Source organism: Homo sapiens, chromosome 3 (genome assembly GCF_000001405.40).
Source record: "Homo sapiens chromosome 3, GRCh38.p14 Primary Assembly".
Taxonomy (NCBI): Eukaryota; Metazoa; Chordata; class Mammalia; order Primates; family Hominidae; genus Homo; species Homo sapiens.
Genome location: NC_000003.12, coordinates 26,048,554 through 26,063,141, shown reverse-complemented (window position 1 = coordinate 26,063,141; position 14,588 = coordinate 26,048,554).

The window sequence follows — 14,588 nt, the reverse complement described above, 5'->3', positions numbered from 1 at the left end:
AATTCCTATCTCTAAGTGAAACCATTTAATCTCATTTCCACAGCATCAGAGTATTGGGGGGATGGGAAAGAAGAGCAAAGCTAAAAAGGCCTAGAGAAACACATCTGCAAGTACAAGAGGGAAGGCTACTTGCTGTGAGAAAATGGTTCCTAATGTCTTTAGCAGCACTCGGATTCTTGAGTTCAACAGAAAGCCATATTCTCCACTAAGATACAAATAGGAATGAAAATACAGTCTTTTCTCAACTCGGGAAACTGAATGCAGAATGTGTATTAGGTGGCCATGAGGAATTACTCTGGATTTTTTTAGATGTTAGCATAGCATGATGGTTATGAGATAGTTTGTCCTTACAGTTGAGAGTTGTGGGCTGAGGTAGTTAAGGGTAGAATGTCATGTTGGACACATTTAAATAGGTCATCAATAGCAACCTATATCTACATAAATTGAGTGTGACAGCATGTTAACAATTTGAATAAAAGTAGTAAGTTTGTGGGTTGCATCTTTTTTTCTATTCCTTCAACTTCTCCATATGTGTGAAAATTCTCAAGCTAAGAAGTTGGGGAAAATGCAATAGAAAAAAATGATATTATGGCTTCCAATCGAGTAAGAAGTACAAATATACAACTAATTATAAAACAGACGGAATAAGTGTCAAAATATAACTTCACTTGTTTGATTTAAAAAAAAAAAATATATATATATATATATATAAAATGTGTGTCTTTCCTTGCATTGTCCTCTTTCCCTTTCTGAAGTCCAGCAGTCAGAGGAGTGCAGCAGCAGGTTGGAAAGAAGAGACTGTGCAACACACTTCCTGCTTTGGCTTTTGTTTTCCAAAGTCTAAGCTGATTGAAGAGATTATTCTAAAGGCAAAAAGAGAGAAGAGGAAAAGCCTCAAAGACTGAAAAGGGCACAGGGAAGGGTCTCTTGAGCAGGAGGGCTGGCACTCTGCCTCCTTAAATGTCCCTGGTAGATGATAAGGCCTCTGAGGTATTGTTGCTAGGAAGACCACATCCTAAGCTCTGAGGTTCACAGCATTGTCAAACATTCCTTAGATTACTATCAATGGTATTCTTTCCAAAGAATAATCTGAAAATTGCTCTGCTTGGGAGACCTCTCTACTATCATTCTTCTTACATGCTCAGCAGTTCCCTAAGTCCCAGAGGCAGCAATAAAACCATATGACCTAAAGCCTCCCTAACCAACCTCTAATATGTGTGGCCTGCCCCCAGCTAGTTTTCTGTTCTGTGCCAAATTTTCACTCCAGTTCTCCGCTGAGGGAGTCTGGATCTCAGATTCACTTGGTGTTGAACTTTGACAAACCCCTACACTCAGTTTGGACCAGGCTTTATATATCTCTACCTGCTGAATAATCAATGCATGAACCTCAGTGGGAGGTCCCTGGGTATAGATACAAAAGTAAGCATGGCCTGTGGGAAGTATCCTGCAGTTTATGATAGCATCCTGGGCCCCAAGCCTGACACTGACGCTGCCGTTATCAGATGAGGCTTTAGGGTTTTTGACGGAAGAGTGAGTATGTGGAACGGCTATGCATTGTTGTGGCCAGACAGCTGACTTAGGTAGATTATATTTCCAAAAATACCTTCATCAATGTTTTGGATTCCAAATGTTCTTCCATTATCTTTACCATAAAAAGGTAAATCTATTCCTCTCCCCCTTGAAATGAGGTGGGCCTTTGTAACTGCCTCAATGAATAGAATGCTATAAAAGTGACACTGTATCAGAGGGTAGGTTTGAACAGGCAATACAACTTCCACTTGTCTCTCTATCTTGGAACGCTCACTCTCAGAACCCAGCCACCATGTGGAGAAAATGGTCAGACTACATGGAGAGGGAATGTGTAGATGTCACAGCCAACAGCCACCATTAACCACCACCAAGAATGTGAGTAACAGTGATTTCAAACGATCCTAGATCCCAGCTGTCCATCACACCCACTTCTTGAGTCTTCAATCTTAAGGTCCAGACATTGTGGATCAGAAGCAAACCATCCCTGCTGTTCCCTGTCTGAGTTCTTGACCCACAGAATCCACAAGCATAATAAATGGTTGTTCTATGTCACTAGGTTTTAGGATCATTTGTTACATGGTAATAAATAACCACAACATCCAAAAAGATGCAAATGTCCATGGTGTAAACCTCCTTATAATTCCAACATCTTTTTTCAAATAAGAGTTTAATAGAATGCCAAGAAAAATCTTGAAGGATAAAAGGTGCATCAAATGAGCATCTATGTAGCATGGGCACATATACAAGAGCTGGTTGCATATGTAATGCTGAACCTCTGCCTTCTGCAACATCAGATGTGATGGTCAGAAGAAAGCCTCTTTCTTCCCTTTCCCACAGATGGAAAAGGTAACTCCAGGACCACTTCCCAGAGAAGCAGTTCTCCACATATACATACATGCACAAACCAGAAACTTTGCTTTCCAAAGCCACCCAGAGCTTCTTTCCACACCCACAATCTTATTCAAGGAACTTCACAAGCACCCCCAATGTGCAGGACAGATTATAAATGCTACTGGTGTTCCACTGAAGAACTTGTTTGCTTGCCTTGCTTCTATCCTCCCTCTTGATATCACCACTCCCTATCCTCTTTAGTAAATAACTTTGTGATACATGGAATGACTGGCCACTATTATTTACCCCTTCCTGTGTCCGTGCCCTTTGGCTGTGAATTTGCTCTTCCTTCTGCTAGAAGAAAGAAATATTTCCCAGCTCCACGGTGTTGAGCTTGGCCACGTGACTTGCTTCGGCAAATAAATGTAAGTTAAAACAGCAGTGTGCCAGTCTGAGCTCAGGGTTTAAGACGCAGCACATTTCCACTTACCTCGTATCTCTACCACCACTGTGAGGTTACTTCAAATGGTATAAACTAACAACAGAGGACTGTTGGAGTTTATTTATTCTGTCACTAGTACCCTAGAAAGGATGTTTGTTTTCACTAGAAAACCTCTTTCCTGTCTTACGCATGGCTATTCTGCTTTTCCTTTAATTCTGTTGAGCACTCTGTATCCTTTTAGTAAATTTCTTTCTTTGCTCAATGCTATGATTGGAATATTTGTGTCTCTCCAAAATTCATATTGAAGCTCAATCTCCAAGTCAGCAGTATTAATAGTCCTTTGGGAAAGTGGTAAGTCATGGGGGCTCCACCCTCATAAACGGGATTAGTGCCTTCATAAAAGGGCTTGAGTGAGGTCCTCCTTCTGTCTCTTTCCCTCTCAGTCGCTCCCACTCCTTCCACCATGTAAAGACACAGCAACAAGGTGCCGTCTTTGCATCAGAGATAACGGCCCTCACAGACACCAAATCTGCAGGGGACTTGATTTTGGACTTTTCAGCCTCCAGAACTGTCAGAAGTAAATTTCTATTATTTATAAATTACCTAGTCTGAAGTATTTTGTTACAGCAGCAGGAACAGACAAAGACACTCAAGTTAATCAGTAGTGATGTCTATTGCTGGCAAAGAACCACTGCTTATACAATGAAAGGAACATGACTAGGATGTTTGGAAAAAAAAATGTTTATTGAAAGAAATCTAATCCTCTTTAAACAAAGGAGCCTAGCTCAGAAATAGGCAACTCGGGGGTGGAAAAAAGAATAAAGAACTGGATGTTAAAAATTCAACCTTTGCAAAGCTCTCTGGAAGATGGGGGTAGGGCTATAAAATGTAAAAGGCACAAAATTTGACCTTAACCAAAAGACCCATTGTGCTTGACATTTATACAAAAGCCTCTACATTCACAAAAATGAGATTTGAACCACAGCTGGCCAATTAAGAGAAAGAAATCCTCTGTAAATCAGTTACAAGCTTTAGCTTTCTGCTTGCCAACCACAGTAACTGCTGAATCTCTAATAAGTACTCAAAGTACATGTACGCACACACACACACACACACAGAGCAAACCTTCCTAGCAAATGCAGCCTTGGATCAAATTAATCAGAAAAACTTGAGTGATTTCACACAACATGACCTGGGCTCAACATTGTGATTATTTCTGGGGCCGTTGTATGTTACGTTATTTTTATACTAGTTTCAACAAGGCTTGCTGTGTTTCCCAAGTGTAATCAATCACATTTCATTATTTTCAGGTTTCTCTCAGCTGTTACCCTTGGCTTTGGGATAACCATGTGGAATTTCACAGCCCAAGCAAACACGCAGGCTGTATGGCATTTTCATTTCTCAGTCTTGGCAGGCTATGGAAAATGGGGATCAGTGGCTATGTTCAATCATTCATCCTGCAAGAATAGCATTCTTCATCTGTTGCTTTTTTTCTTTGCCACAAAACTCTTCTATTTTTCTGCAGTTTATAAGACATGAGATTTTACTAAATTTTAATGTTAAGACAAAGCACTCAAGTTTGACCTTATATGCTCATTTTTCATTTTATGAAAAACAGAGCAAAAGCATAAAATGGATTCACACTTGGTTTGCCTCAAAACACCTCCAGTTCTGAGTTTCAGTATTCTATAACACATTAAATAGTTAAAGCTAACAGGAAAAATCATCCCAAACCTAAGCATATAATGAGAAACACATTTTAATACTGTTATTTAACATTGTTCTTAAACCCTTTTCTTTCCCACCAGAAACTATACTATGAAAGGCAGAGAAACCTCTCTTTATAATTGTAAGTCTGAAAAAATGAAAATTTCAAATACATGTTTCTCTATAGAGAGATCCAGAATCCAAGTGAGCTAGGAAAAAATTACAGACCTGGGAAAAAATTAGTGTGAAGTATTTCCCTAAGTAGTAGAATTCCTACTTAGGGCGAAGGGGCATTCCCAGGGCTAAGGATGCATTAAAAGCAAGTCAAAATATTGGTGGAGGGGCAAAGATTGGGAAGTGTATGTACATTTTTATTACCTAACATGTCTAGTCTGCCCCATTGCTGGCTCCTAATTATTAGGCATGTATAATACAAGGTTACTACTATGTAGTCCATTTTAAAATGTACCTACTAAAACATGCTCAATGTATGCAAACACTGTTTCAATTTCCAGAAGACTAAGGCAGAACTGAGTAAGATCCATCTCAGTTTTCACGGAGGTTACATGGTAAGGAAAGCAATCACCCATATACGAAGCAGGTAAGTGCCACACAGCAAGACATATAAAGGAGTTTCTTCTGCCAAAGGAAGAAGGGAGGAGACACACGATGGAGAATCAGGAAAGGAAAGCTTCATATATGGCTGGATTCTGAGCTACCAATGGAAACCTACCGGCTAAATGAGGCCCATGCATGGGTTTCGTTCAGCACATGTGATATTTTAGAAGTATTTTCTATAAATTCACTGAAACTTCTGAATATTGCATTAAAATATCTAGAATTCTGGCTTCTCTTGCAAAATCCAAAAATTCTAGGTCTACATTCTAACCCGGTAGTAGTTACCTAGATGAGAATAGTGGCTATCCCTTTAAACCAGACCCAAGTTTTCCAGTTTGCTACAGTCCCCATCACTCCCTGTTGCACCCAACCCATGACCTGCTTTATTCCTTTCTTTCAACTGCCTTGCTCCTACATGAGTCTGCCTTAAAAGGAAGATAGGATGTCAATACACAGAGTCAGAGAGGGGAGACCAGGGCAGAGATACAGAGGCAGGACATTTTAGGTTACACTGGGGGAACTGTGAACAATCTGCTTGGGCTTAAGTAGGAGATACATTTTAAAATAGATAAATGGTAGCTGGGACAGGAGAGGGAGCCAGGATAAAAAGAGTTGACTTAATTAGGTCAAAATGTGAAGTCAATTAAGAATGTTAGATCTGGGAATTGCCACCATCTTATGTCATTTTCAGAAGGATTCATCATAGGTGAGCAGAACAGAGCTAGGATTCTATTGCAGATGTTCAGGTAAAGTGACAGAAGGAATTGGAAAGAATGGCATGGACTTGGTGAACACTGAGGAGATAATATGAATAGGGCTTTGGCACTGCGTAGATATGGTGATTGGGAAGGAGTGAAGTGGGCAGGGAGAAAAAAACCAAAAACATCTCTAAGGCTGGGGTCACAAGCTCATGGGTCTTCAGGGAGAGGCAGGTAAAAGAAATATACTAAGTGGCAGGTACAAAATGCCAGGGATTCCACTGTGGAAATTTTGATAAGCTGGGGAATGCATATTCAAAATCAATTTACAAAATCAAACAAACAAACAAAAAACAGTGTGTCCATCAAACAAAACATATTAATACAACAGAATTAGCCAGCCACAAGCCCTGAAACTGGTTAACAGAAAAGTCATGCTTATAGGTCATTCTGATAGAGTTGTCCATCAGGCCAGAATAGACACTCAGCTAAAGTGCGGAGGGAAAGAAAGGCATGACTTTTGATTTGAGAATTAATGAATAATGATAAAATCTTGGGATTTTGGATCATAGGATCATGAACTCGTCCACATGTTGATGATAGCTGAGTCTATAGAAGATGAAAGAACCAAGGGGAGAGGTAGGAAGAGAATAGATGCATCCCAATGGCTGGTCTTTAAGGAGCACTGCGTGATAAGAAAAAGGAGGCTGAGAAGTGAATGCGGAAGTGGGAAGTGAACTGAGATGATACAATATGATGAAAAATATAGAAGGAAACATTTTTAAAAAAGAGAAAAAAATCCTTGATATAAAATGCCAAGTATATGACACTGTCCCTCTCTCAAAGACCCATTTAATTAAAATACCTTTTCCCCAAAACCAATAATTTCTACAATAGCTTTCTACAGTGTCAAGTAAATAGGGTTCCATCTGTTCTTAGATCTTTGTTGCCTTCCCCTTTGCCCCAGGGCAAGTTCCAATGCCACATCATGATTCATAGGCAAAATGATGTTTGTTTGTTTGTTTACCACAAATTTGCCCCTGGCATAAGCAGATGCAGAGATGGTCTTCTTTCTACATGATTTCTTAAAATTTTATCCACTGCCTTCTTTGTTGGCATTTGGAACTGCTCAGAGGAGCTAAGTTTCCATGAGTATCACTCACCTTTCCCCAGGAAGCTAGGAAGTGAGGAGTGAGGATGCAAAGATACCATAATCAACAGGAAACCTTCTCTGGATGAAAAGGGAGAGAAAATTCAGGAGATATGACTGAGTATTCTGAAGCTCAAAGCTGTAAATCTGAATTGAATCCACTTTATGTTCTAACACCCTCACAGAAGCCAAAACTACTCCTAAATCACCTAGCTTATATCCCAGGTGACCACATGCAGGACTAGTAACTTTTGCCCTAAAGATAAATAAATAGGCCAGGGGTAGTGGCTCTCGCCTGTAATCCCAGCACTTTGGGAGACCGAGGCGGGCGGATCACAAGATTAGGAGATCGAGACCATCCTGGCTAACACGATGAAACCCCGTCTCTACCAAAAATACAAAATATTAGTCGGGCATGGTGGCGGGCACCTATAGTCCCAGCTACTAGGGAGGCTGAGGCAGGAGAATGGCGAGAACCCGGGAGGCAGAGCTTGCAGTGAGCTGAGATTGCGCCACTGCACTCCAGCCTGGGCAACAGAGTGAGACTCCGTCTCAAAAAAAAAAAAAAAAAAAAAAAAAAAAAGATAAATAATTTTTCTTCCAGCTTCATTGAAAAGAATGAAACCACAAATAGGCATGGCATACTATTTTTTCATTCAGGGAGCATCTGTCACCCAGAAATTGCAACAAGTGGCTAGGAATTGCTTAAATTCTCCATGGCAGAAGAGGCATGTGATAACTGAGCTTGATCCAGTGGGCTTCAACGCCCTTTAAGAGGCCCTGATTTGAAAGATGGCAAGAGCTCCTGAGATATCCTTGATTTGGATGCTCCCTACAGCTTTGACTTTGAGATATTCTATCATTCCATCTGCAGTGATGTGAATGTTTATGTTCCCCCCAAATTTATATGTTGAAGTCTTCACCCCAAGGTGATAGTATGAGGAGGTGGAGCGCTTCACACTCATGAATGAGATTAGTACCTTTATAAAAGAGGCCCTACCCCATTATGCACCATCTATAAACCAGAGAGCAAGCCTTCCATGGACACTAACTCTTCTGCTGCCTTGATCTTCAACTTCCCAGACTCCAAAACCGTGAGAAATAAATTTCTGTTGTTTATAGGCCACCCAGCCTATGGTATTTTTTTATAGCAGCCCAAATAGATTAAGACACCATCCTATACTGGGTGACCTCACTGCCTGAGCTAGTATCCCACATAATTTCTTTAGAGATGGGGATTGAGAAAGCAATTATCTTCCATTTTTCCACCAATGGTGGTAAAGTTCCAAAATAAACATGGATAATGGAGTCCAACGTCACAAAACTGAGACAAGAAAGAGCTCAGTCTACACCTAGAAAAGGGAGGATCGTGTGGTATAGAGTGAGTAGCTTTGCTCAAGAGGAAATAATGTCTCAAACTAGAAATTATCCAACTTAACCACAAAAGTTGAAAAGGAAATCAGATGGCAGGGTGCAGTATGACATATGGTGTTTCCAAAGTGGACCAAGAGGCCATTGCCTCCACTCTAATGAAGAAGCCAAGGGCAGAGAAGCTTGCCCTCCTGGTTCCTCAAACACATCAGGCATTTCCACCTTTGCACATTGAATCATACTATCCATCATCCCTATTTCTCTGTCAGCAGAATCTGACCTTTCCTTCATGGTATGGTGCAAATCCTATCTGCTTTACAAGGATTTCTTACGTTTCTGGCCTATGTGCATCACTTTTGTCCTGAGAATCTCTCCAGTATTTTTAGAAGGCAGTACTCATATTAGCTCTTAATCATCCATGAACCGTCTTAGATGCTGCAAGTGAAAGTCTAGGCCGGGCGCAGTGGCTCACGCCTGTAATCCCAGCACTTTGGGAGGCTGAGGCGGGCGGATCACGAGGTCAGGATATCGAGACCATCCTGGCTAACACGGTGAAACCCCATCTCTATTAAAAATACAAAAAATTAACCTGGCGCCGTGCGCCCGGTGCCTATAATCCCAGCTGAGGCAGGAGAATGGCATGAACCCGGGAGGCGGAGCTTGCAGTGAGCCGAGATTGGGCCACTGCACTCCTGCCTGGGCAGGAAAAAAAGAAAAGAAAAAAGGAAGTCTAGTTCAGACTATAAACTCCTAGAGGACATGAACTCTCTCCTTGGATGTCTTCACGTCCTCCATAGCACTGGCACAGTGCCATGCCACCAGGCCCTTCTAATAGCCACCATTGAACAAAGCCTATGCAGAGATACTTGACCTGATACAAGCAATAGAAAAATAAAAGGTTCAAAGAATTTTCTTTTATTATTTAAAAGAAATAGGTAATTATCTCTATAATACTTTGCCAAATAAATTCATGCTGCTGATTCTCAGGTAGCAAGAAAATTCACTAGAGAAAAACATATTTTCTGAGTCTTCCACAAAATCCAAGAGTCTCTTAATGTGCAACATACTTCCTTTTTCCCTTCATCACCAAAATTGCCATTATTTCAACCAGTTGCTGTTTATCAGATCAGATCACCTGTTTCTATGCAGGCTGAGGATTTGCAGTCCGCCTGCCTGCTTGCCTGCCTGCCTGACTTCTTTCCTTCCTTCCTTCCTTCCTTCTTTCCTTCCTTGCTTCCATTCATCCAACCTCTCCCTTCCCTTTCCTGCCTCCCTTCCTTTCTCTTTTTTCATAAAACAGTGCAAGATACTTTTCTAGATTCTGAGAATACTGTGGTGAATAGGACAAAACCTCTGCACTTAGGGAGCTTGCATTCCAGTGGAGAAATAAACAATACATGTGTGAATAAGTAATAATTATCAGGTAGTGAACAGCACTATGGGAAAAAAAATAAATCAGAAAAAGAAACTAGAAGGTAATGGGGATATAAAGAAACAGAGAGATTGGGCGCCTGAAGACGTAACATCTGAATGGAATTAAAAAAAAAAAAAGGGGGAGCAAGCCAGGCTTCAGTAAAGAACACCCAGGCATAGGAAACAGCAAGTGCAAAAACCCTGGAACATACCTAATTTGGAGCATTTAAAGAATAATAAGGAAGCCATTGAGTCTAGAGGAAAATGAGGAAGGGAGAGGAACAGTGTGAAACACGATTGATCAAGGTGGCCAGAGTCAGATTTATATAAAGGCAGTGGGACAAACAGAGAAAGGAATTCCTCCTTAAAGTAGAAAAAAAAAAATTTAAGTGACTCTTTCGCTTGTGATCTCAGTTGAATTCTCCAAGCCCATAGGTGTGGGGGCTTTTTGCTTGTGAATTTGTTAAACTTTCCCCAACAGAAAAAAATCTGAAGGGCAATGAATGAATCCTTTGTCATTAAGACTCTTCCTTGTGAGTCAACATGGAAAAACTGATGGTTAATCTGATGGGTAATTCCAGGTAAAAGGAAACCTTTAGGCCTGAATTTATCTTTATTGGTTGTTGAAATCTTTTAATGAAATGATTGTCAGCTTTCTATTCTTTAGTGTGGGGCAAACAATAGTCATCTAGCTATGTGATAATCCACCCTTTATATCTTATTTGTCAGGATGGGGGGAACCAGGAGTTATCTATCCATCACTATTTATACAGAGCTGTGTAATACAATCTATCTCTTATATTCACATTGAGTTCACTTGAGTATTGAGTTAAAACTCCAGAATAAAATTTTGTTTATCACTAACATTATTCCAAATGCAGTGTTTTTATATTTACATTGAGTTCACTTTATCATTTAGTTAAATCCCAGAATAAGATTTTATCAGTAACATTATTCCAAAGGCAGTATTTTTATATCAGTGATCTACACACAAGTTTAAAACTATTGATTAGTTCTGCAGGGTCCTTAGAAATCCAAGGATTTTGAATTGTCCTGACAGATGTCATTAGCATTTCACCGACATAAGCTGGTTTGTTCTAGCTCAATCCCCAGTTCAACTAAAGGAGTTATTTTATCTGTTTAACAGATTTAAAGAAAGGATTGAGTGGTTTAAAATTTTCAGAACTACAGATAATCAACTCTTCTCATTTCACAGATAAAGGAAACAGAATCCAATGTAAAGGTATGTTTTCCATGGCGACAGAGTTCTGAGCCCTGAATGTGGCATTTGGCAACAAACCATGGCACCATTTATTTATTTATTCACCAACCTTTTGAGCATTCAACTCTCCCAAGCACCATGCTCAGCAAAACAGAATACGGTAGAATCTCAGTCTTAGAGTATCACACTATCTAGTATAAGAAGCAGGTTAGTAAATTTAAAAAAAAAGAAAAATACAATTAATATGATGAGAGGCATTAAGGAGATAAGTGCAAAATACCAAAGCTGCCCAGATGATGGTGTGACCATATAGAAGCAGAGAAAACTTCACAAAGAAGGTGACATTTAGCAAATCTTCTTAATCACTTTACTTCCTAAATAATCTTTTAACATTTTGATGTAATTACTGGCCAAGATTGCTTGGTGTGATAAAATACATTGTTCTTCAAAGTTGTAATATTCTTATCTATGTATTTTATACACTCTTTGCATCAATTTCCAGAATCTACACCACATCTGGCTCCATCAAAATATTTTTGTACCTCTTTTCATTCACTAAATGGAATGGCATTTCTTTGAACTTTGATTAATTCAGTGATCACTGAATCTACCCCTTTTACATAAGGTAATAGTTATATGAATCTGTTCTTTGCAGGGAAAACTCAACACGAATATCCTTATGAAATATATTTATTCTTTGTTCATTTTGTTCATTCTTCTTCTTAAACCCCATAAGCCATAATAATCCTAAAAAGGAAAAATTGGTCAAAAGTCCTTCTGTGAATGGCATTTGTGTTTGGTTTCTCAGATTATGATTTGTGTAGTAGAAGTCCCATCTTTTTAAAAACATGCACACAGTCAATCCTACATAAGTCTCTTCATCATATGTTTTCAAAATATTTTCTCTACCTGAAACCCAATGGCCTTCTTAGAGATTAAGACAGGCTTAAACAAGAAAGAGAAGTATATTTGCCTTCTCCAAAATAAAGAAGCAGAGAATGTGTTTCTCAAGTGGGCTAAATTAAGGCTTTTGGAGCTGAAGTTTACATTGCATAGTTTTACAGATTTTGTTGGTAGAAACAAGTTTGTTGTTTAGGGTTTCATTTTGCTATCTTGTTCCACAGTAAGAAAAGTCACACCACTTGCAAAACTGAGAAACTTATTAGAATCCTGTGGTGTTTGCCTGCTTTGATTTCACACAGTGGAACCAACATGAAATGAAGGATAACACTGCAAAGGGAAATGTGAAACACTTGCAAAAAATCACAGCTGGAGATGGCACCACCTAGGCTTCAAGGAAAGCATCTTCCAACTTAGCATCCTCCTTCTTCTCAAACAGAGGTAATTTCAAGTTTCGTTTTATCTAAAAACTTGCAACTAATGCTGAGGTCTTAATTGTGGATTAGAACTGTATAATACAGTTAAGATAACCGCTTTAGAAAATACCAAGGAATTTTTACATTCATTTTAATGGTTCCAGCTTACCTCAGAAGGGCTTTGAATCATCAGGTGGTTTTAAAATGCCAAGTAGGACTGCTGGGCAATTGAGTTGACATGAGAAAAGGTTGAACTAAATCAATAAATGTGTGGATTTCTTAAAATTCAATTTATTGTGAAGCATCTTTGCCAGTATTACTAACAAGCACACTAGGAAAACCTAGTGCAAGAATCTCACCAAAAATCAATTAGATAAATACGCTTCGGGAAATGTATATCAGAACAGATGAATAAAATTGGATAAAATTTCTGAGACACACTATAGAAAACTACAGATGCAAGCCAAGGAGAGAAGCCAATGTATAACCAGTAAACTAAACTGATAATTAAAGGAAAAATATTCTTAGAATAACATATTCACTTTTTCATTAAAAAAATGAAATAAAAAACTTCTCCAGCATGAATCTGTCCAAATGGCTCAAGCTAGGACACTGGCTTGTGAGAATTCCACAAATGAACATTATGAATTTCCTAATGACACTATCTGTTCCACTGGGTTACAAAGTCTCCAAGGAGAAGAACATATGCTCATGACTGACAAATGCAAATTTTTTTGGCAGAGGAAAACGGCCTTTTCTCCCACTGCCTTTGACTGGCTATTCCAATCTATGAATTTAAGATTGATATAGATTTCAAAGTGTCAACCTGATTCCTAAATAATTCTTGCTAATGTAGATCCTAATGTCTCCCAGTAAATATGCTCATTAACAAAACTTTGACAAAGCCTGTACGTTCCTCCATATTATTTTAAATAAATAACAGTAATATTTGACTAAATCTCTCTGCTAAAAATTTCCAATGTTATATAAATATCTGAAGTTTTCTTTGACCTTTAGCCCCAAACCTGGCTCCTCCATTTTGCAATGAGTTCGCCACTCCTTTGTCTTGAGTACATACACATTAGAACACATATGTTTTGTGATGTTTGTGTCTTATAAATGGCATCATATTATACATACCCTTCGGAATTATGTTATTGTTGTTGTTCCATTGATCAATGGGACATGGACTTCTTCCACCTTTATACAAACGGACCCGCCTCATTTTGTTTTCATCAGCTGCATAGTACTCCTTAGAAATTTAACTATGTATTTTGCTATTCTTCATTGATGAATAGTTGGTTGTTTTTAATTATTTGCTTTTTTAAAAACTCTTCAATGATCATTTTTGTATATGCCTCACTGGGCATAACTCAAAGTTTTTTTTTTAAAGTATAGACAAGAGAAATGTGTTAACCTCTTTAATTCTTGTGCTAAAATAGTATGAAATAAAGGATGGCATAAAATGCCATTTTCTTTTATTCTATCAGAATAAAAAAATAAAATTAGAACTTTCTAATTTTTTAAAAAACACTACTGCTTTCTATTTTTAGGAGCAGATTCTTAAAAGTCAGCATTTCCTGAGTTCAAATCCCAGTCCCAGTTTCAAATTGAAAACAATCTAAGTCACAGCAATAGGAATGGCAAAATACATAATAAAATACCTAAGCTACCTGTGTAGCTGATGAAAAAAAAATGCAGCAAGTCTAGATGTACCAAGACAGAAGAGTGTAACTTTGTGTAACTTTAAACTAATTAACATATCCTTGCCAAGCCTTAGTTTCTCCACCAAAATGTGAAAATAACAATTTTAAAATATATATACAGCATATAGTTGTTACATGGATTAAATGACAAAATAGTTGTAAAGCACTTAGTACAACACCTGACATTGTGTAAGTGCTTAATAAATATGAACTTTCATTATAATTCTTGATGTATTCCAAGATGGCAGATAAATTTCAACAACTCGAGGCCATTTATTCATTTGGTAATCATTTACTAAGCATTGCTTATGAGAAAGGTTTTATGCTACCTGAGTTGAGGAAAACACAGATGAATGAAACAATCTCTGTCCTCAAGGATCTTAGGAAAATGTCCAAGAATATAAGTCACGTCAAGAGTAACCTTAATACCAAAAGGAATGTAGTATTATAAGAGAGTGTCATAACAGATTGCTATTATTTTATCTGCTCAACACTACTCCCTCAGAAAGCACATCCTCCTTCTTTGAAAGCACTCTTCCTTCTCCAATTCTAACACTGAAGAGTGGATAACCAGATATAAAAGC